The following is a 24,346-nucleotide window of genomic DNA, read 5'->3' on the forward strand; positions in this document are numbered from 1 at the left end:
CTGTGTTAGAACAAACGCCACCAAACGACCGACACTGCGAGGCCTGGAGCTACCTGGGCTGGCGCCGCCCGAGCCCCGGGCTGCGAGCCCAGAGGCTGGGAAGTGATGGGACCTGGGGGCCCGAGCCGGAGAGTGCGACCCCCAGCCCAACTTTTTTGCCTGGCATAGAAAGCAGGGACCGGACAGGTTTCAAACGGATCCGAGTCCCTAGAAAAGCAAAAACAGACTGGGCGGAGTGTGGGGTGGGGGGTGGCTAGTGGAACTGGTGAGTGTGTGTGAATAAGCTGGGTGGGGGTGGGAGCAGAAGACAGCTCTTGCTTCACAACACCCAGTGCAGGAAAAGAAAAATAAAATCTCTTCCTAAATACCCCACCCCCCGCCACCCACCCACCACCAACTACCATCACCACCACGGCCAGTGGGCCCAAAGAAACAGCTCGCTGCCTTTAATTTGGGGACCTATGTTAATGAAGTTGGTAATTAATTCGTCGCTTTGTTGTCGGTTCTTATACTGTATGTGTACTCAAATGTGGCCGTCCTTGGGATTTACAGCAATTAACGAATTACGGGAGTGCGCACGAGGCAGCAAGCTCTCGGCAGCCGGGCTCCGGCTCGGGCTCGGCCTGGGGCTGGGGACTCCGCGGCAGCGGCCCCTGTCACAGGTGTCCCTAGAGCTTTGGGCCCTGGCGGCCCCTCGAGCCCCCGAGGGGCCCGGAGCCCGCCCAGCTCCTTCCCGGCCCTCTGCAGCAGCTCCAGTCCGGAGACCCGCTGGCTGTCGCGTTCCCAGGAGTCAAGAGTTTCTAGGGGCCCGGGCGGGGGGGAGGGTGAGTACCGACCTTTTTTCTCACCCCACCCCCACTGTACTGAAACACCTGGCGGCCGCCCCCGAAGCCTTTAATGGGGATGGTGGTGAGGAGGGGGTAACAAATGCCCCGGGCGTTATGACCCTCGTGGCGCTGGCTGTCGGAGGCACTGGTTGGGTGCGCTTGGTCAGAGTCATGATGCTTTCGATGAAGGAAAGGCAAATCCACCTCGATCACCTGAAGCAGAGTCTCCTTCCTACCCCTAGAAAAGACAACGTTTCCCCCAGTTTGATCACAATGATGTTTAAAGCATAAAAGAGCCGAAAAAGAAAAATGGACGTTGTGAATCTGGCAGAGGGGAAGGCCGGAGGAAGGCCTTGGGGACAGTGGGCATGGGGTGGGATGGAGAATGATCAGAACATGCGCTTGTGAGCTAAACCAAGTAAACCATTTTGGACTGGGAGATCCATCTGCCGTAGGGTCCAGTGTCCAGGGTAACCTTTCAAGCCCGATGTAGAGGTTTGCGATGTCCTCCCAGATGGCGGGGGCAGCTGAATCTCCCTAAAAATCCCCCTGTTCTATTCGACAGGGGCAGATTTATGCATGGTGGGGCGTGAGAGGGTTTTGCCCTTCCAGCGGCCGGCAGCAGACAGCTCCCGCTTCTCCTTTGCCCTCTAGTCTAATAACTTCGCAGAAATACAGGGCCAATAAACTACGAGTTGGAAATGGACAGTGTTAAATAAACAAGGGTCTCTTTAAAATTCTCATCCACTTCAGATGTCTAAAGTAAGATTGTGATGATTTTGTCACGGTTTGGTAAATTTACCCCTTTAAGAGGCTTTCATAAATCCCAGAACACACCTTCAGCCAGATTTGAATATAGATTTAGGTTTTAAAACCCAGAAGCTGGAAACACCGCTTTATCAAAGAGAATTTCCCTTTAGCTTAGCAATGTGCTGAAGCTCTTAAAAGATTGGATCTGAGAGAGAGAGACAGAGAGGAGAAAGAGAACTAGAGACAGAGAGAGGCAGACAAGGAAGGGGGGGGGGGGTGAAAGACTTTCTTTTTCTTTCTAGAGGAATTCTGCCCAGACTCTGCAGCAGTTGGTAGCAGGCAAGCTTTCTCCTGGGTGTCGCCTTGAAAAGTTGCAAAATTGCTCTTCACCTGTAAGAACATGCTCTTTATCTTCCAGTCTCTTCTTGTCAATTTGGAAATTGCAGACTGCCCGGCTCAGGTACAGTCCCCACAAACCCTATTCTAGGTCAGGACAAAAGCCACTGGCTTTGGGGGAAGGGGGCTGGGCTCTTTTACTGAAAACCTTAGATGCTTGGTGGGAGAAAAAGACTCTTTGGATGAAAAGTCTAACTCTTGATTTTCAGTAAGTTCTTGAACTTCCAATTTACCTAGTATCTGTTCATTGTATTTCTGTGTTTAACTTTTTTTCTGTGTCCTGTGTCGTTAACATTTTTTTTCTATGAATCTGACTTATGGTAGCATGCTTTGTGTTTTTAAATAATTTTCATTAAAAAGTGGATGGTTTTTAATTGCCACTTGTACAATTATTTTGCTACGCATATGAGATATAAGCATTCAGAAGCTAAATTAAGAAAGCCAATACGAAGGGAATCAAATTATTTGTCAGAGCTTGTGTGCAGTTTCTAGAATATGTCTAATATGCATATTTTGAAATCAAGATTCATGTGTGGCACTAACTAGGCTCAATTTCTCCACCGCACAAGCCAGGCCAGTTTAAAATATTCCAAACTTTCCTCCAAGTTTATTAACTTTGGTGGGGGGAGTGGGGGAGGGGGAGGGGAGAGAAGACATCCCGGGATTCTTCCAGGCTAATTAAAAAAGAAGAACAAAACCCATATTCCGTGAGAACATAGCCTTTTGGGGGAAAGGAGCCAGTTAGACTTCCTTAACACTGAATTCAGAAATATGAACATTAATTTCCAATCTTTTCAGCAATTCACTGGACAGTGAGGGACTACATTTTGCCTTAGAAGCACCATAATACCTAGAAAGAAGTCATTTTTTCATTAGGTTTTTAGATATATCTTTATTATAAACTTTGAGGAGATTAACCTTAATTTTTTTAACAAGGATTTAAGACTGGAAATGCAGACAAAATTTAGGGGAAAAAATAAGGCAACAGATCACTTATAAATTAAGCTTGGGTCTCTCACTCCCTGCATTGCGGTTGCCTCAAAAAAGAGGGTAAGGGAGAAAGAAACAACTTCAAAGATAGGATTGGGCTGTCTCGATAAAAGAGTAGGGAGGCAAACTCCAAATGCGAAAAAGAGGAAAAGAGGACCATGTTGTTCCGGAATGAAACGGATTAAGATTGTGTGACAAGTGCGAGATGTGGTGCTGTGAGACATTTATGAGCGGAGTGTGAGCCGGGAGCTGTGCCTCTGTCCCTGAGAGTGTGGGGACCAAGGGTGTGTGCAGAGCAAGGTTAGGGTGAGGGATAGGAAGGGCATGTGTGGATGTGAGACAGAGAGAAGTGTGAGGCAGAGTGTGTGTGTGTGTGTGTGTGTGTGTGTGTGTTAGAAGGGTGTGGACGGGAATGTGGATGGATTGATGAAGGGTGGTAGCTGTCAGTTTACATAATTTTCATCTCCTGGTCCTGAAGTTTCCTTGAAATCAATTCTACTGCAGGCAGCAGCCTTGAGCTTACAGAGCTGATATAAAACAACCATTACAGTCCAATATCTTGCCTGTTTGCAAACTTCATTTAAAACTGGGGAAAAAAAAGACCCAGGAATGGTTTTGTAAGAAAGGAAAAAAGAAGAAAAGAAAACCACAGTGAAGCTTTAAACTAGTTTGGATAAATCTCTAATCTTTTATTTGTAACCTTTTACAAGCTTTATTTCCCGTATATGAAAAGCTTCTTTTATATGGGCACGACAGACTTTTCCTTTGGATTTTTAATTAGAGTCCATCAATTGTAGCCATATTTAAGAATCAATATAAAGTAATCCTTCGAGATGGGATAAGGTTTTAATCGAAAATCTAATTTCCCACTCTTTGCAGATCATTTTAAGAGGCTGGTTGATAAAAAAAAAAAAAAGAGTTCAATTTTTAAAAGACATAACACCTAAAACCTGGAAAAGATCATGTCTACAAGAAACCAACTGATGTTGCCTTACAAAGAAAAAGTCTGGCTGTTGTTGGGAACTTTTTTTTTTTTCTACTTGGAAGAATTTGACTTATTTTTCTCTCAAACAATATTCCCTAATGTGGCTCCTATGAGAGTATTCACATTGAATGGAGAAAGAAAAAGACAGACATTGTTTGTCTGAAACAGTATTTCATATGCAAAAGATAGCAACCTTAATTTTTTATTAACAAAGAAAACATAAATCTTGACAGATCCCCTTCACTACATGCTCCCAAATTCTCAAGATTAGAGAATAAATAACACATACTTTTTCTTTTTTGTGCATGAATGCAAACTTTCCATTTTCGGATTCAGGAATGAATATTTCTGTCCAATTTTAAAACTTCAAAATTAGAATTTTGCAATTTTTAATTTTTTTGCAACAATGGAAAAGTTGCTTATCTCAAAGGCATAGAATTTTAAACAGTTCTACCAGGGTCACTGGCTTTCAGTTTGTCTTAAAAGAGAAAAGAAAAGAAAATGAAAGCAAGGAAGAAAGGAAATAAACAAACAAAAAAATGAAAACTAATTGTAGGTGCACAGTCCAGACCGTTTGTGCTGCTGAACGATTAATCTGAGATATTTGTTCAAAGGCCGAACATTATATAAATGTGCATAGTGCATTTCCAACATTCACCGCTTAGTTTAAGATCTGCAAATCATCCGTAAACTAGAAGGGACCCCCCCACAAAAAAGTTTATAATGTATTTTCAGGCAGTCACTGTACTTTTAAAAACTGTTGTATCTGTTAAGCTCATTTGGAAAAACGAACTCATGATGTTTGCTTTTAAAAATCTGAATGAAGCGTGTTTCAACATATTTGATAGCCATGCTTTTCTTTTATCTACAGAAATTTCAATTTATTTAAAAGCCTGGCGTTTAATGCACTACATGACCGCATGAATTTTAGAGGAGCCCTCTTGTATTTCTCTGTAATCGTGTCTAATGAAAACCTGGGATTTTCCATTATTTTTTAAAAAAGTGAAAATATAATGCATCTTCATTAGGAAAATTGACTGCTGTGCTCACGACAGTTCTTAATTGAAAAGGCAACCTATTTTAATGGTGTGGTTGAGAAGAAGATTACATACTTTATCCAAACACAAAGACAATTAATAATGAGAAGCAGGCTGCTGCCATTAACTCTAATGCAGTTGCATCAACGTCAGTGAAAAGTGCTCATACCTGAGATACACGGTGCAAACGCCCCCGGCTCCCTCCTTTCCCAATTCACCCACTTCTTAATTTGAGTTTCTTAATGTGCAAGCGCCAGGGCCGGCTGTGGTCAGGCGGGCTATTTTCTGGCAAGTGTGGCGCGGGGCTGGACGCCCCTGCCGGCGGGTCGCCGGGTCTCGAGCTGCGCCGCCCCGCTGGAGGCGCCGGGGCTGCCTGGCTCTCCGCGCAAACCTCGCGCCCTTCCGTTTGCGCGCATGGAGCCGGGTGAGGGCGGCCGCGGCCACCGCGCGATGGAGGATTTGGAAGCTCAGAGCCAGCTGGTACATTTTGAGAAATTTAGCAAACCAGACTGGGCTGCCTCGGAAACTGGGTTCTGTTCTGACTCATTTGCAGAAAAGTTATGGGGAAAAACATCTTGTAAAATTAAGGTTATGTTTGGCGGGTACAGTCTTGAGCGCACATGGTCATCCGGCGAATCAGCCAAGTTTTCCAAAGCGCCCCCTCTCCAGCTCTCAGGCCAGGGGAGCAAAGCGTAGGTGTGTGCGTGTGCGTGTGCGCGCGCGCGTGTCTCTGTGTCTGCGTGTGTGCTCGCAAGCGCGTGTGGGTTTGGGGTGGGGGGACATCCTGACCTTTCTACACCCTAGTGCGTCCCAACTCCAGACTGGGAGGAGACGTCTGCGGCCTCTGGTCTTTTCCCTTCTTGGACGAGGTGCGGCCAGCTGAGACCTCACACCGGCCACCTCGGACCCAGTGCGCCGAGCTAGGGGAGACGGCGCGGGACTGGGGGACCCCTGGGATCCCGCCCTCGTAGCGGAAGGAGTGGCAGCCCTTGGTGCCGGGCCTGGTCCTTGAGGCTGCCGGCCCTCCGGGGCGCCAGGACTCGAGGACGCGGTTTGCCCCCGCAGTCCTAAGATCCCCGGGGCCGTGACAGCTTGGGGAAGGGGCAAACTCTGTTTGGTCTCCACGAAGTGCTTCGATGTTCGCAAAAGGGTAGGCCCCTCTTGCTTGGGGTCCTACACCCCTCGGAACTGGCTCTGCCCCTGCCTCTTCCCCAGCACAGTCTCCCAGCTAAGGCTCAGACAGCCGGGGAAAGGGGCGCCCCCATCACTATTCCCCACAACCCGCCCCAGTGTGAGCCAGGGCGCGGCTGCAGGCTGACAGGCGCACCGTGACCACGCCGTCACTTCCCTTCACCAAAGGTTAGATGGGAGGCGTGCACCCTCTGGGGAGTTCGCAAAGCTTCTCGCTTTGATCAGCCGCGCGCAGTGCCAGGGAGAGATATTGCTGGGGTCTGAGTCCGTCGGAAGTGTCTAGAAAAGAAGAGAGAGGAGCAGGTAATCAGACTTTGGCGGCTGCCCTGGAGACACTTTCACACATCCAGCCTCGTGGAGGAGGAAGGACCCTGTTCTCCAAGGGCCAACTGAATACACTCTCCTCCCTTGAGGCATAGCCTCACAGGAAAGCTCCTTCCACAAATGCACGCTTCCCTTTGCAGCCCTCAGTATGCTGGGGCCAGCTCTGCTGTCCCTCAATCAAGCATACCCCACTTTCTTCCCTGCTTCCATCGATTTATCTACAAATTTCCTGTAGACTTGCCACTTCTGTGATTTTGCCCACGGGCTAGGTAGCCTCTTCAAGGCTCTGAAGACAAGCAGGCCTGGAGATTTCCACGAAGCCCCAGGTGGCTCCTCTCCCTCCCTTAGGGCAGGTGAGTCTCTAGAACACTGTAACCTCCCTTTGGTGAGAGCCAACTATCAGCTACTTGGTGTGGTCTAGGAATCTTCTAGCCTCCTTTCCAGCTTCAATGTTAGATAAGCCTCCTTGCATGATGTATCCAGAGTTTCACTTGTTCCTTTTAAATACCTTTTTCAGATCGCAAACGTTGAAGTACTCAGTTACTATTTATCAACCAAGCCCTGGTTTCTGCTTTTGGTGAGGCCATGTGTGTCGGCTGGAATAAGGAGGGCACCAGGTCTCCTAGGGATAGCTTGAAGTCTAGATGTCTTACTTGCCCAACAACATAAGAGCAAAAACAGACTTGCTTCCATTTGTGGATCTGTTTCTTAGCATTTAACCTATGGATGCTTGGAGGCATCTTTATTAGCAAGTGTCTGACTTTGGATAGCCACTCAATAATGACATTCCTAATCATTTATTGAATACCATTTAAGCTAGTTCAACCACAGACAGTAACTCTTAGTCTAAATGGCAGTTTTCTGGCAGCTTATTCAACTACTGAACATGCAAAAAGTGAAAGATATCATTGCTTCCAATACTTAGCTCCCAAATATGACAATGAAAGCCATCACTTAAGGGACACACAGATCACCCCAAGTGTAGATAGTGTATTCTGGGTTACTGGAAGAGCAGTAACCCTTTTGATTATGCTCTCTTGTATTTGATGGACAAAATATGTCAGATAAGCACAGAAGAAATAGGCATGGGATAGAGACCTTGAGTATCAACAGAATCATGGGCTTAAGTCTACCCTGACCTTTTCCTACTGTTTCAACCAAAAAGCAGAAGTAGTGGTTGAAGTGGTTGAAGTCTTTCTCTAACAAAAAGACATTCTCTACATGAGATATTCACCAAGGAATTGGAGGGACACCAAACAATTTCATTATCATCAAGAAATATTTTTATTATCCTGGTAGTTGGCATTGGGTAGATATAACTTCAGTCAACTCTAGAGTCTTAATGAAAACATTTCAGTAAAAGCAAACATTTTACATTAGACCATATATTCTTAATCCAATCGCACATTTGAATCAATTTGGTTTATTACCCAATTTGTGCACACATGGTGGGATGGATAAATTTGTTTATTTTTCATATGCAAAAATATTTACTGAAGCCTCTGATTTGTCTAAAGATTTGTGATTATCAAGCCAGGACGTCTCTAGAGCATAAGTACTTTTTTGAAAGTTTTTTGTAACATGAACTCACATTCATTCATTAATTCATGTATGCATTCAACAAGCATATCTGGGCACCTACTATGTAGTAGGCAATTGTCAGGAATTGATTATGTCTAGAGGTTCGAATTTTTCTCATTTCAAATAATCCAATAGTTATAATAAACATTTGATCTAAAAGTTTTCATTGCTCTCTTTTTGCCGAAAATTAAGCCTGGAGAGATTTGTCCATTGCTCTAGGGTGTAAGGACTTGTATTGCTCATCCACAGCAGTGCTCCTAGGGAAAACTGTAGGAGTTGTTTGCATGAATTGACAAAAGTATATGACTCTTAATGTTCAAATCTAATTCGTTTCTAAAAAATAAAATCACAAGGCAGCTGAGTGTATGGTTTATTATGTGTTTAGATTATGTGCTCCTCAGTAAAAAATACTTTTTTTTGGATTAGGAATAAAAACAAACTTTAGATTTAACTCTGTATTCTTTTAGTTCATCTCTAAAAGATAGAGACTATATGTGCATGTATGCCATCATTACATTCTTATCTTATTTCAAAGAGAATGCAAAAAAAGTATTCAAATAATTATAAATACAATTTATTTTTTTAAAACCCCCTTTCTGGGCTAGTAGTAGTTACTGTTATTTATTTTTGTCCATTTTAGCTTCAACTACTTGCCAGTCCTAGAAATTAATGGGTTTAATTTCCCCTCGAATTTAGGACTTTTCTAGTAACAACTTACACTCAAATGTAGTCTTTCTTATAAAGATTCTCCCCCTCTCTATTTTATTTGCTTTCCATTCATAACACAGACATTACCATGAAAGTTTTCATTGGTTATCGATGGAGTTATTGAATGTGGTAATCAAACAACAGATTAAAACTGAGTCTCCATGAGGTGACCAGTGCATGAAGGTTTCTTTTTTTCTGAAGAAATCTCACAGGAAGAATTAAATGCTACCTCTTACAAATCAGTCCTACTGATCTAGTGTGTGTCTGGACACACCAGAGTCTTTGAGACACATCCTCACCAATAGTACTTTACCTTCTGGGTATGAATTGTGGGTCATGGTGCCTGTGCATAGCCTGTGGTCTGTAGAGAAGCCATATTGATTAATACTTTTCATGCAAATTATTCAGAAGGTTGAGGGTTTTTTTTTTAATCCCCAAACCTCTAAAAACTCATTCTTTATTTTTCAAATTTGGTCTTTTTAATTTCCTTCACAGCTAAGAGGATATGAGAGCCCCTTTGTTCTGGAGCTGCTGATTCTGGTATTCAAGGTGTTTGTTTGTTCCAAGGACTGCACTTACGATTTTAAAGTGCCATAAATTCTTCGTACTAAGCTCCTATGGTCTTTATACCACCTTACCAGTTTAGATTATGTGATCTGAAGAATGAAAAAAAAGTTTTTATGAGACTAGGTAGCTATTCGTATTATAAATATGAATTTATTAAATTTAACTGGCAAAAAGATCTATTATGAGTAAAGAAGGTGAAAATACAAGCTTAAAATATTCAGGACTGAGAATAGAGCATTTAATTTCTGATTCTCTCTGTAGGTGGGGTGTGAAATAGAATGCTAGTGTTGCTGATGCCAGAATGCTTGCCTATTTTTACACTTCCGTAAGAGATGTGGGCAATGGAAAGGGATACTTATGGAAGTACAACAGGGTTTACGTAAAAGTTCATTAGGCTTCAGGAGGGTAGCATTTGCCTTATGGAAGAGAGTGGGTCTCTTGATGCCCAAAATATATATGAGAAAGACAGCGAAGTGAAAAGGAGATGAGAATCCAGACACTCCATCAGCAGCCTTACTCTGTGACAGACCCAGAGGCAACTCCAAAGCCACGAGGGCAACTGCCTGTTCAGTTTGCCAAAGAGCCAGATGCTGTTGCTTGGAAGAATCTCTTCCACAGCTTGATGTCTGGGTCCTGTGATTGCCATCCAAAGAACAGTGGTGGGGCATGCTGGGATGAATGCAATCCCGGCATCCCACTACAGTGTTTTCTTTTTTAAAAAGAGTCATTTTAAATTAAACAAGTTTTAAAACTCACATATTATTTTCGAAAATGTAAAAAGGAAATTGGAGGATAATAGTACAAGGCAAGGCTGTCTATTTGAAAAAAAATCCTCTTGAAACTTAACTTTGCTTATGGGTCATTTTAAATTATCCCATGAGGAATGGGACATTTAGAAGAGACAAAAGACCATCCACCATTCACAGTGATGACATAAAAATCACTACAATACAGAAGAATGGTGATACGAATAATACTTATTATGTTATTCACTATGATCATTTACAATATTTATTTAAATAAAATAAAAGTAAGATATTCGATACTGTGTTTTGTAATAGAATTTTGATTGTGAGTGCCACTGAACATGTGCCTAAATAAAAAAGGCAGTAAGAAAAATTATTAGTGACATTTAAGGGGAAAAATCATGACTGCCTGAGTGTCTGATGAGTCACTGACATCTCTTCTTAAATATTATCAGTATTGTCACATGAAGCAACATCTCTCTTTTTCAAAATATGTGTTAATATTTGCTGTGTTGTAGCTAAGTGAATAATAGCTGCTGTATGTCTTTGAGTCACTCAGACTACTTCAACAAATGAATGTCATTTGATCCTAGCATACAGCCAACACCTTTGCTCTTTCCGTGTAATCTTTTATTTTTTTTAATTATGGGATTTTTTTTCCCCTTATATTCCCAGACTTTGTCTAATAGCCTAATGGTAAGTGCCTGAGCACCATAGTAAATCTATAATTTCTTTAATCATTGTGATCAATGTGAATCATGGCATGATTAATGTGGCCGGGGTAATAGGTAATGGTTAAACAGATAATCAAAATATTTGGATAGTGATAACTCACTATACAGCAGTGTTTCTCAACCAGCGACAATTTTGTCCCCCCAGGGGACATTTGGCAATGTCTGGAGACGTTTTTAGTCATCACAACTCTTATCTACTGGGTAGAGACCAGGAATGCTGCTAAACATCCTGCACTACAGAGGACAGCACCCTACAACAGAAAATTGGCCCAAAGTGTTAATAGTTCCAAGGTTGAAAAATCCTGGTGTAGAGAATGGATAACACGTATAATGATATTGACATTTTAAAAAGTTTGGTGACTACCAAAATATAGATAGCTCTGTAGTGTCGTTAATCTAGATGAAAAGAAAAAAAAATCAGTAACGAATATTTTCAAATATCTTCACATTTGGGATCATATTGACAAAGTATAAAGGCATAATATTGTTGTCACTTTCTGTAAAATATATTTCTCATCCTCACTTCACTAAGCACATAGTTAGCTACGACTGGATGACATCAACAGCAGCTTGGGGATATCATGTTCCTATTTCATAAACAGAATAATAATTCAAGAGGAAAAATATATAAAAGAATTTTCAGTTTTTAAACTTTTTTTCAATTCCAAAATTTCTTTCCAAATAATTTGAAAAATGCATAAACTTATAAAGAGGAAAATGAAAGACATCTTTAATCCAGACATCTTAAGTTTTTAGTTTCTTGAAACTTAAACTTGTGTCTATGGACATTGATTTCTTAATATAGGACCAAATACTGTTCAGCAAAATATTTTGTTATGGTTAAGTTTTCATGATATTAACTCCTTTGTCTAGCACATGTAAAGTGAAATTTATCGTTGTTTTCCTAATTGTTCTGTCCATACCAATTTGCCTCCTTTTTTCTGAGTGCAGATTTATTGGAATTTTTTCTTTCTTTTCTTTCTTTCTTTTGTAATGTATTCAGTTATATTAAGTGGAAGACATCTCCCCATAGAGAAACGGGCTTGGACCTCATCTGCCTTATCTGTTTATATCTTGTAGGACTAGTATTCTCCAACACTATGTGTGACTTGTCTCCTAGTCATTTTTTAAGTCAGATGTTTAGAACTAGTATTCTCCAACACTATGTATGACTTGTGTACTAGTAATTTTTTCTTAACTTGGGTGTTTATGCTGCAGAGCTAAAGTTGTTTAACAGGTAATAGTTTTGCCTCAGTTAAATCTATGGGTGAAGATACTGCCACTGGGCAAGACTAAGGTGGTAGTTACAATTTGGGCAGGGAGACAGGCACAGAGCCCTTGTTAGGGAATGAAACCCAGAAAGAAGGGAGGGGAGAACTGCCAGAAGATACAGCAGGCTAATATGGACAAATTACAGAAGGAAAAAGGACAAGTGGAAGATAATGCAATAATGCACAGCCTTTAAATAACACATTGAACAACAATGACTTTGCATTTAGCATTTGCGCAGTGCTATCATCCGAATGTTTGTGTCCCTCCAAAATTCATGTTAAAATCCTAACCCCTAAGGTGATGCTGTTACGAGATGGGGACTTTGGGAAGTGATTAGGTAATGAGGAAGGAGCCCTCGTGAATGGGATTAGTGTCCTTATAAAAGAGACCCCAGAGAGACCCTTACCCCTTCCATCTTGCTGTGAGGACACAGCAAGAAGGTGCCCTCTATAAACCAGAAAGCAGGCCATCACCAGTAAGGCAATCAGCAAATCTGCCTTGATTTTGCACTTCCCAGTCTTCAGAATGGTGAGCAATAAATTTCTGTTGTTTTAAAGATACCCAGTTTCTGGTATTTTGTTATAGCAGCCCAAGTAGTCTAAGAAGGGCAGTTATATGACAAGACTTTTACTTTATTTGAGGCATTAATCTTTGGTTTCCTCCTCGGACCCATATTATTAGGTTGATGCAAAAGTAGTTGCAGTTTTTGTCATTACTTTTAATGGCAAAAACTGCAATTTCTTTTGCACCAATAACTCTTGTCAGGGAAGCAGAGAAAAAATTGGAAATGGTCCCACAATTTTCAGGGTTTATGTTTTCCAGGATTTTTTTTTTAATAAGATACCATGTTTTCCAGGTTGGAATGCAATGGCTGTTCACAGGTGTGATCCCACTACCGATCAGCACTGGAGTTTTGGCCTGCTCCATTTTTGCTCTGAGCTGGTTCACCCCTCCTTGGGCAACCTGTTGGGTCTCTTGCTCTCAGGAGGTCACCATATTGATGCTGAACTTAGTGCGAACATCCGATTGCTGTAGCACAACTCCTGGGCTCAAGCCATCCTCCCACCTCAGCTTCCCAAGTAGCTGGGACTACAGGTGCATGCCACCACATCTGGCTTTTTCAGGAATTTAAAACAGTGACTAGCTCTCAAGCTACCACAAGTTCTGCCTTGGGCAGTTGACAATGCCAGTTTTATGGAAACCTCCCCACTGTATTCCTCCCTAACCTGCAGTATAAAACAAAAGCTTCACTGAACAGTTTCCAGAGCAGAACTTCTTTTCTTCTTCACAAAATAGGTCTCACCCTTGGGTAAATAATAGGTGGCACATGCAAACAGTTGTCTGGGGAAGCTGTTTATTTGTTTGTTTTTATGTACTCTGAGCAACAGAATTTAGAAGCCAGCTCTCTTGTGTCCACCAAGTTCAGGCACATGAAAGGGAACATAGTGCTTGCTTTGGCAGCGTGTACACTAAAATTGGAACAACAGAGAGAAGATTAGTATAGCCCCTGCATGAGGATGACATGCAAATTTGTGGATCGTTCCACATTTTTTAAATTACAAAAATAAAAAAAAAGAAAGAGAACATAAGTAGGGATTTTTTAAAGGATTGCAAAAGGTTCGGTGAAGAGAAATGAAATATACCACAGAATGAATAATATGCTAGTTAGTAAAAAATATATGAGTGTTCAACTGAAGTATGGATCCTTTCCACAATAATGGACAGACAAACCCTTTTGTCCTTAAGACTACACAATCCTTTGTTCTGATTCTGTGGTCTTTCTCCTCATCAACTAGCTGATTATGGGTCTCTGCTGGGCCTCCTTTAGGTCCTGTTCATATCTAAAGTTGGCCTATGCCAACCCGGTCACTTCTTTGAATCAGGGCTGACTTAGGAATTACAGAAAAATCTTGGTCTATAGGTGTTACTTGAAGTTTGAAATTTAATGTCAAGTGTCTTCATCAACTTTATGTCTACAGGTCTAGACATTTCTGTTCCTATTATTATACAAATATCAGAGGTAGCTCCTCCTTTAATTCTGTAGTTGTCTGTAAATTCTTATGACTGCCAATTATAAAACTCATTTTATTTTGTTCTGCTGCTGTAGAGGAAGGGGTCTATATATCCACCCCAGTGTTGATAGGAAGGGAATGGTAACTACTCTGGCTACTGCCTGGAGTTTTCTTTTCTTTTTTTTTTAGAGACGGCGTCTCGCTCTGTCGCCCAGGCTGGAGTGCGGTGGCGCGATCTCGGCTCACTGCAAGCTCCGCCTTCCGGGTTCACACCATTCTCCTGCCTCAGCCTCCCGAGTAGCTGGGACTACAGGCGCCCGCCACCACGCCTGGTTAGTTTTTGTATTTTTAGTAGAGACGGGGTTTCACCGTGTTAGCCAGGGTGGTCTCGATCTGCTGATCTCATGATCCACCCGCCTCAGCCTCCCAAAGTGCTGGGATTACAGGCACGAGCCACTGCGCCAGGCCTGGAGTTTTCTTTTTATTTCAGTCACTTACTTGTACATCCTTGGCTGAAGGATACTCTTTTTTCATATTCTTACATGCACTTCCATTATTAACTAAAAAATTAACTAAAGAACCATGTGCTTCTTTACTGGTTTTTGTGTTTTATATGAGGACATTTGTATGTGGTTCGTATATACAACACATTCTTCTCCCAAGAATGCCAAAAACAAAGAAAAGGAAAGGAAGGAAGGAAGGAAGGAAGGAAGGAAGGAAGGAAGGAAAAGAAAGAAAGAGAAACGTAACAGGCATGGCCGAAGAAGCACTCTAGCACTCTACTCTTGAGACTTGGGCTGAATACAGGGCCTACTTTGGTCACTGTTCTTTAAAACACAAAGGATGGAAACAACCGAAAGTGAAGAGAAGGAGCTATTATGATAGAAATGTTTTATGGGCATCTCTATGAGCATAGCACATCAAGGGCAGGTTTGTTAACCTTGAAGAAGAATGGCTAAAGAGATCATCTAATTAATGTCTTGAAAAGCGTGGATATTTTCTAGAAGAGGAATTTTTATAGTAGTTCTCCATGCCTTGAGAGATCCAAGATGATGAAAGAACTTAACATAGGAGCTGTTTCAGCAGAAACACACAGACTCACATCCCCAGCTTAGCTATCCTAGTGCTAAAACATGAGAATATGTTCATTGGTGGCCATTGTGGAATCTCTGTGTTTGGAGATCTCTGAGAAGAGATTTGTAAGTTTTGGTTAAATACCTTTGTGTACACCTGCCTGAAGGTAATCAAATGACTCTTTAAGTTTCCTTCCAGTTCTTATTCTATGAAGCAAACACAATTTTACAATTATTTTTATTAATTGCTGAGCAAAATATTTATTGCCAACTAGTAAATCCTAGGAAAGCTGTCTCATCTTTTGAGGTTGTAAGAAGTTTATGTTGTGAAGATTTGCTAGCCTTGAAATTCTCCCTTATAAAAGCTCAGAGTCCCAGATTGCATCTGTGATAGATTGTTTTGTGATATTTGGGGGGATATACTTTAAAATCTTTTTTCTTGTTCTTTATAGTCTTAGCATTATTTATACTTTAAAAAAATGTTTATTTTATGCCATAGGTTATATTTTATCCTTCAGAGCCCAGCACAAACATTTAAAAAACTAAACTATTTATTACATCTTGAATATTAGTTTTGACTGGGCGTGGTAGTGCAATGTAGCTGGGCAATGTGATGAAGACACCCAATGCAAAAAAAAAAAAAGAGACAGTTAATTTTATTATTTGAATTATCATACAGTAAAATGGACTTCTTTTGGTGTACTATTCTGTGAATATTTTAATGTACATATAGATTCATGTAACCACCACTACAATCTGGATACACCGAACTCTTTTAACATAAGATACTCTCCATATTTTAATAGCTTTGTCACTGAAATCCATTGTCTAATATAACTGCTCAATGAGCAAAATACATAGTAGAATATATAATACTTACTACAAAATGTAAAGTAGTGTTATGTACAATAAAGTGCTTTACTGAAGATATTCTTAACAGATCCAAGTTGCTGAATCAGACCCATTGTGTTCAAATGAATTTTATGCAATTCCTTGTTATTGTAACAGCTGTCATTATTAACAGACAATAGCATATGCACATAAATGTATCAATATGAATATCAATTCTCCATAATTTTGAAGATTTAATAGTGTCTCATAAGGTTTTTTAGTTTTTAAAATCTAATTTAAACTATGACATGGATTTACAATCAGACTATAACTTATAGAACTTTCTGATTTACAATCAGATTAAAACTTATAGTACTTTCACTCAATTACTTCTTGTAGAATCTACCCTGATTATGTTTTGTTTTATTTTTTCTTTAAAAGTTGCTTAGAGGCCGGGCGCGGTGGCTCATGCATATATTCCTAGCACTTTGGGAGGCCAAGGCGGGCAGATCACGAGATCAGGATATCGGGACTATCCTGGCTAACATGGTGAAACCCGTCTCTACTAAAAGTATAAAAAATTAGATGGGCATTGTGGCGGGCGCTGGTATTCCCAGCTACTCGGGAAGCTGAGGCAGGAGAATGGCATAAACCCGGGAGGCAGAGCTTGCAGTGAGCCGAGATCTCGCCATGCCACGCCACTGCACTCCAGCCCAGGAGACAGAACAACACTCATCTCAAAAAAAAAAAAAAAAAAAGTTGCTTAGAACAGATTGCAGAAAATATGACTTCCATCATAAGCCATCAAAACAAAGCAAACTCTTTGCAACACCAGATTTTTGTATCCTAAAAATATTACACTCAAGATTAAAGAAATAGGTTTGGAGGTTTTTTTATTTTTTTGAGATGGCATCTCACTCTGTCATCCAGGCTGGAGTGCAGTGGTGCAATCTTGGATCACTGCGACCTCTGCCTCCCGGGTTCCAGCGATTCTCCTGTCTCAGCCTCCCAAGTAGGTGGGATTACAGGTGTGCACCACCACGCCTGGCGAGTTTTTGTATTTTTAGTAGGGACAGGATTTCACCATGTTGTCCAGGCTGGTTTCGAACTCCTGACCTCAAGTGATCCGACTGCCTTGGCTTCCCAAAGTGCTGGGATTACAGGCATGAGCCACTGTACCCAGCCCAAGATTTGGAGATTCTACGCAACTTTTATGACTGAATTGGACACAATAAAAAGCTTGGGTCATTCTGACTTGTCTAAACTTCCTAAGAGGAATTAATACTATAGACAAGAGTCTTTTTGATACACCATTATGAGTCAGATCTTTCAGCAGTGTCAAATTTGCCTACCTGTTTGTAGATATATAGCATGTTAATAATTTACTGTAAGCCAAGTTTGTATATATGCAGGTAAATAATATAGGTAAGATAGCATTGATTTTTGGTTATGTTGTCTCTATAGATAGAAGAAAAGATAGGTTTGTAATTTTTAAGTAGCTAAGTTGAAAAAGTCAAGAATTTGTGCTCCAATAATTACAGTCAACACACTGAATCGTATTCTGTTAAACATGGCCGTTTCTTTCCACCTCTTCTTCAGAAAGGGGGTTTATTATAATAATCGTAAACAGAATACGATTAAAAGTACCTGGAAATTTAGTACCTAGTGTCAGAGAAGGTACCACAATAGTCCAATGTAATGAGGTTGGATCGCGTGTATTCTTCCAATTTTAGTCATTTGCTTTCAAAGCTATTATTTCACCCTTACTGATAACCTCTCTTCAGTTTAAAAAAAAATTACCATTAACATTCACTCACTTTTTGCAGGTTTTGAGCAGTTTTTTAATCCAACAAACTATTTTACCTTACACAATAGATGCGGTCTTAGCCAATAATCTTCATTGTTAATAACATTCAATGGCTTTTTAACAATTATATGACATCCATTGTGTTCCATTTTCTTTCTATGTCAGTAATGCCCTGTAAAGCATTCCAACTAGTAAGGTACACAAGTATCGCTTTCATAAAGCTATGCTAGCTGTCTCTAATTCAATTACTTACCTCAAAGACTTCCTTCAATGCTGCAAATTTGTCCGGACACTTCCACATTTCTGATGTTCACAGGAGCTGTTTGCAGTTGCTTGGATTGTAAAATGTTTCTTTATCTATTTTCCCTTTTTTTATATACCATTTCACTTGTCATGAAGAAATAAATGGTTTCAGATTTTTTTGATTCCTAAAGGATGATCTAGAAGTTATAGTAGTTATAGTAGTTACATAGTATAGTAGTTTAAGTGTGAAGAAGAGCATCTTGGAGGAAAAATATCAGTATCTCTACCCATGAAGAAAGCCACAGTGTTAAAGTTCAAACTGTACCACCCATGCCACTGCTCATTGCTGCTCACCACTCTTCATCTCCTTATTTCTAAGAGGAAAGCTTATTTTGGATATTTGATTACTTACTTATTATGTCTAGAGGGTGGGCAGTGGGTGGTGCTGCTCAAATGAGTGTGATTCAAGGAGCAGACCTCCAAATACACTTGAAATGCAATAAAGATCAGAAACGACAGTATCTCCCTTAATTCACAGTGGTTATGTTCCATGATCTCCACTGGATGTCTGAAACTTTGGATAATACTGAACTCTATGTATACTATGGATAATACTGAACTTTGGATAATACTGAACTCTATATATACTATGTTTTTTCCTATACATACATACCTATGACAAAATTTAATTATTAGTCATGCTAAGACATTGACTATAACATCTAATATTATAGAGCAATTATTAACAATATACTGTAATTGGCCGGGCGCGGTGGCTTATGCCTATAATCCCAGCACTTTGGGAGGCCGAGGCGGGTGGATCACCTGAGGTCGGGAGTTCGAGACCAGCCTGACCAATATGGTGAAACCCTGTATCTACTAAAAATACAAAAATTAGCCAGGCATGGTGGTGGGCGCCTATAGTCCCAGCTACTTGGGAGGCTGAGACAGAAGAATTGCTTGAACCTAGGAGGCAGAGATTGCATTGAGCCGAGATGGTGCCACTGCACTCCAGCCTGGGCAACACAGTGAGACTCTGTCTGAAAACAAAACAAAACAAAACAAAACAAAACAACAACAACAACAAAACAAAAACCAACATACTGTAATCGAAGTTTTGTGAATGTGATTTCTCTTTTTCTCTGGAATTTTCCATTTAATGTTTTTGAACCCTGGTTGATCTCAGATAACTGAAATCACCACAGGTAAGAGGGAATTGCTGTAGAGAGGATTAAACCCCTCTACATTTTGCAGTGATTGCTAAATTTATCTTTTGAAAACCCATTGGCTTTACCCCACAATTTCATCCTGGGAGAAAGTAGAAATAATGTTGAATACCTTTTCAGAAGAGTCAGTATGTAGTTCTTTGCCACTAACTAATCACGAATCATTTCTCTTATAAAATAAAAATTTGAAGTTAGTTTGTGATAGTTTTTTTTTTCTTTCTCTCTGAATTTTTAGTTATGGAAACCATAGATGCAAAATCTCTCATAGGTTTAATACCGTGGTGACTGAAATGATTAAACATTTGGCTGAAATAATTTTGCCTTTTTTTCTTAATCCCTCAATGTTAATGGTTATAACTCTCAATCCACCTATACCACTGTTAGGATTTTGAATAGTAGGACCTTGGTATTCCCACCACAATCAACCTGCTATTGCTGTTCATTGACCTAGCAAACTACCAAACGGTTATTTCTTCATGGAATATTGGCTATAAATGCATTAGTTGCAATATTATTCTTGGTGAACAATCATAGTGATGCTAAAAGGGTACTAATCAGATAGTGGTACTGCTCAAACCAGTATGGTTCAAGGAGCATGTATTTTGTGGTCACAGGCCATCCTCTGACTCTGAAAGACAAGGCAGAAGAGCTTGAGGGTTGCTTAAGAAAGACCACTGAGGAAGGAAGACCAGGCTGCAGGTATCTGAGTTTACCTTCGAGAGGTGACAGCCTCTCGAAAGATCACTGCTCAAGGAGTCATTTTACCTGTTCTCCAGGTTATCTATGTACACCTATCTTTTCATCTCCACTGCACAGAACTAACGTACTTCTTTTCTCACCCATATGTGATAGGCATGTGTCAGGTGGCACCTAGGATATTCAGTAGAACAGGGTGTAGATAAGCAGGTGAAAAAATTGAGACTTTCTCAAATGATTGACAGCTTATGTATGCATCAGATCTATTTAATTTTTACCCATTAGATTGAGATATGCAAAAACATGTCCAGAAAAAGGACTGAAAATAGCAGGGCAAAGTCTGGTATGACTGGGTCATCAGTAAAGAAACTCCATTTAAAAAAGTGAAAAGCAAAGAAGGAGAAAAATAGAAGTTTCATTTCAACTAACCCAATTTATTGGAGTCCAACTAATTTTTTCCCCAGAATAAGTGGGACTAAATATGTAAACTATTTTAATATAGGTTAATTAATATCATAAATACAGATTCAAGAAGAAACACTATGAGAAAAAAAGAAATAGCACTATGTTTGGTTATGTATAGGTACTAGGTGAAGGTGAATCTTCTCGTTAGTTGAGGAACCATAGTGCATAGAGATTCTTTTTCTTCTGTGAATTATCCATTGTTAATTCAAGTATGGTAGTCCACCCATGGTTCTATTCCTTCCTTCAGCAAATGCTTATTAAGCTCCACAGTGAGCTAGATGTTGTGGGGGCTATATGGAAGCATAACCCATGGGAATACATAGAAGCAAAATCCAAGTTGCTACCCTAGCAGTCAGGATCCTGGCACTCAAGGATGGTAATTGATGGTGTACTCAAGCATGGCAGTTGAGGAGATAGTAATGAAGGGAGTATTGTTGGCAGGGTTAAGGGAAACCACAAGGGGTGGTGAAGCACATGAGACTAACAACACTGGGGAGCCATTACCACCCATAAGCCTGAAGAGGTCAAGGAAAGGGCTGGGAACTGGAACCCAAGGCTAGCCGGAGCTGTGGTTGTGGCTGTAGCTGGAGGAAAGGGCCACCTGATGAATGCGGTGGCCTTCAGGAAATAAATGCTGACCCGGTGCATCCCAGCCTGGTGGGCACTGGGCAGCAAATGCTACACACCCTCTCCTCCCACCCACTGATTCCTGCTGGTGGCTTGCACTGTTTAAACTCAACCAAGAGCCAGAAAACAAGGGAACTCATTGACATAATTCAGAAGGTCGGTGTCCTGCTATACAGAGCAGGGTAGAGAAAGGTAGAAGATGGTTCTAGAGGGGCAAGTGGCATTTGCAGCATGCTGCCTTGAGACATACATGGGAAAAACCATAGCCACAAAATAAAGCTGTGATACAAAAGATGTCACAAGATGACAGTGAGTGGTATAGACAATAGGTCCAGGTTAAGGATGTAATATAACTTAGGGAAGATCCCTAGAAGAAAGGAATACTTTTTTGGGTTGGGCCTTTAAGAATGAGTAAGAATTAGATTAGCAGAGAGGAATATGGAGGACAGGGAGAACAGTGGAACAAAGACATGGAAATAGAAATAAATATATAGTATGGCTGAGAGGCTGTATCCAATTGGCTGAAGCACAGAATAGGCAGATGCAGGCATGAGTTCGAGACCAGCCTGGCCAACATGGCAAAACCCCATCTCCACTAAAAATACAAAAATTAGCTGGCCATGGTGTGCGCCTGTAGTCCCAGCTACTTGGGAGGCTGAGGCAGGAGAATTGCTTGAACCTGGGAGGTGAAGGTTGCAGTGAGCTGAGATCGCGCCATTGCACTCCAGTCTGGGTGACAAGAGTGAAACTCCATCTCAAAAAAAAAAAAAAAAAAAAAGATTCAGTTTCTTGGGAGTGATCCAGTTCCAGAAGGCAATAATTGAGAGTTTGACTCAGCCTGAACCTCATCTAGTTTAGACAGGAAGAAAGTGAACTGTGCTCTTCCAAAGCAGTTCTGATGAATCCACAACAGGTGGTCACTAAATATTTGTTGACCAAATGAATAAGTAATTAAAATTAAGTACTAGAAATTTCTATGTTTTGAAACAGTGCATAAGATGACCGTTTATATTGATTTCCAAAATCTAATCATCAAGCCAGGCACGGTGGTTCATGCACCGTTCATGCATGGTGGTTCATGCACTTTGGGAAGCTGAGGTGGGTGGATCATGAGGTCAGGAGTTCGAGACCAGCCTGACCAAGGTAGTGAAACCCCATCTCTACTAAAAATAAAATAAAAAAAAATTAGCCGGGTGTGGTGGCAGGCACCTGTAATCCCAGCTACTCTGGAGGCTGAGGCAGGAGAATCACTTGAACCCGGGAGGCAGGGGTTGCAGTGAGCAGAGGTCATGCCATTGCACTCCAGCTAATCATCATGCAGACCCACTGTGAAAGCAGGAACCTGGTCTACCTTGTTCTTAAGATAATCCCATCTCCCAGCACAGAGCCCAGCTCAGAGCTACAGCACCATCCTATATCTGTTGAATAAATGCTGGGATACATTAATAAATGAATGCATACTTGAATGCATTTATCCTTTTACAGTCGGGTTTCTTGGGGTGGTGATCCCTCCCTACCCTTTTCAGGTATAGTTACTGTTAAGGTACATTAAGTAGTCTGTCAGCCTTTTAATGACTACTTGTTTTTTGTTTTGTTATTCTTTTTCTTTTCTTTTTTCTTTTTTTTCGGAGATGGAGTTTCACTCTTTTTGCCCAGGTTGGAGTGCAATGGCAGGATCTTGGCTCCCTGCAACCTCCGCCTCCCGGGTTCAAGTGATTCTCCTGCCTCAGCCTCTCAAGTAGCTGGGATTACAGGTGTCCGCCACCATGCCTGGCTAATTTGATATTTTTAGTAGAGATGGGGTTTCACCATGTTGGCCAGGCTGGTCTCGAACTCCTGACCTCAGGTGATCTGCCTGCCTCGGCCTCCCAACGTGCTGGGATTACAGGTGTGAGCCACTGCACCCAGCCGACTACTTGTAAGTGCTTCTTAATTTTTCCTCACTTTAATTTCTTGTGAGTCTCAGATGTACAGTTGTTTAAATAGCTTAAATATAAGAGTGGGTAAAAAAACTCAGGCCCTGAATCACCTTTGAGAGGCAACCCACGAGAACAACCCATTTCAGATGCAGGGCTTCTGTCTCCAGCCTCCAGCCCAGGGTGTGCGCACCTGCAGCTGGCCTCAGTGACACTCGCTGCAGCGGAGGTGGCTCCGGGGCTCCTTTTACCTTTGTTCCTTTCTTTAAGCATTCAACTTCTTTTCCCACTGCCATTAAAATCATATTAAGTAATTCTGAAGTGCTTCCCATAAACACCAAATGAGAAGTACAACCGTGAGAACAATTACCTACCTGTGTGGAATAGGTTATTATTTTAATTTGTAATCTGAGTGACATTCATTTTAGAGAAGAGAGTATTGGGGTGTGCACCCTCCCCACATGCCCCATTTACTGAACAAAGAGTGAGCCACTTTTTTCGTCTTCCTTAATAGGTAGCTTTAACCTCACTGCCTTGTTAATTATGATACCTGAGGGTAAATTCCTGTTTACTGGCTTTTAAACATTACAATTTTTATCTGCCATCGGACACAAAGAGAGAGCTAAGTTCAAACTTATTTTATGGCTTATAGAAGCTGAAAGTCAGACAAGGTTAATATTGTCAGATGATGATAAATATGTGGTAATTTTAACTTTAAAGTGGACAGCCCTACTTTGACGGTGAATTACATTTGCACAACTGAATTTCTCATTGAGTTGAATTTCACTTTAACAATTCCTGCCTCTGTGAGGACATCCAAGGCTTTCAGGTGTCTCTAAAATCTGGGAAAACCTACTGCAATCCAATTGTGGGTGACCTCACAACAATTTGTTGCTCTGTGCAACAAATCCTTGTGTTTATATTTAGAAAGAAATAGAAAATGACTATTAGTGCCGATAGCACCCTGCTGACCTGAAGAGGGAGTTTGTGATGGAGGGGGTTTTCAGAATCTTGTGCCTGAGATAGGATGAATTCTTTTCACTTGAACAAAAGATTATTTATGATGAAAACCTTAACCTATACACTGTAAGACAGACTGAAATGTAAAAAAGGTGAAAGGACTCTGAAACACATGGATAAAAAAATGTTTTAAACATGTGTGCTAGGAATACAATTATGCATGATACCTTCAGTACTGAGTATTTGTTCTAATTTGTGAATTTTTTTCTTGTTTCAAAGATTTTCCCTCTGCTAAATATACTTAGATCTCAATGTGCAGATGTCTTTGCCAGCATTCAGTTTCTAATGTATACGTAATATTCTAAGCAAGTTTTTAGTAGAG

The 24,346-nt window shown here is 41.0% G+C and overlaps 1 long non-coding RNA gene and 2 pseudogenes across 2 annotated transcripts in view, besides 1 other annotated feature; 2 read left to right on the plus strand and 1 right to left on the minus strand.

Moving 5' to 3' along the window:
* Positions 427-1,319: an enhancer, noted in NCBI's record as "H3K4me1 hESC enhancer chr14:57278577-57279469 (GRCh37/hg19 assembly coordinates)". NCBI's record gives its function as "activates a minimal SCP1, AML or CMV promoter by ChIP-STARR-seq in naive H9 embryonic stem cells {active_cell/tissue: H9 hESC(naive)}" and the evidence as "EXISTENCE:reporter gene assay evidence [ECO:0000049][PMID:30033119]".
* OTX2-AS1 (OTX2 antisense RNA 1) overlaps positions 574-24,346 on the plus strand; it is a 119,303-nt gene continuing 95,530 nt past the window's right edge. The window contains exons 1-2 of one of the 2 annotated variants that reach the window (NR_146411.1): positions 574-824; positions 1,880-2,037. This is a non-coding gene — a long non-coding RNA (OTX2 antisense RNA 1). Of the gene's footprint in view, positions 825-1,725; positions 2,038-24,346 lie in introns of those variants that run through there. The other variant, NR_029385.2, reaches the window with a different exon arrangement.
* RN7SL461P (RNA, 7SL, cytoplasmic 461, pseudogene) lies at positions 12,943-13,224 on the minus strand (annotated as a pseudogene).
* Positions 13,554-13,660, plus strand: RNU6-1204P (RNA, U6 small nuclear 1204, pseudogene; annotated as a pseudogene).

Source organism: Homo sapiens, chromosome 14 (genome assembly GCF_000001405.40).
Source record: "Homo sapiens chromosome 14, GRCh38.p14 Primary Assembly".
In the NCBI taxonomy this organism is placed as follows: Eukaryota; Metazoa; Chordata; class Mammalia; order Primates; family Hominidae; genus Homo; species Homo sapiens.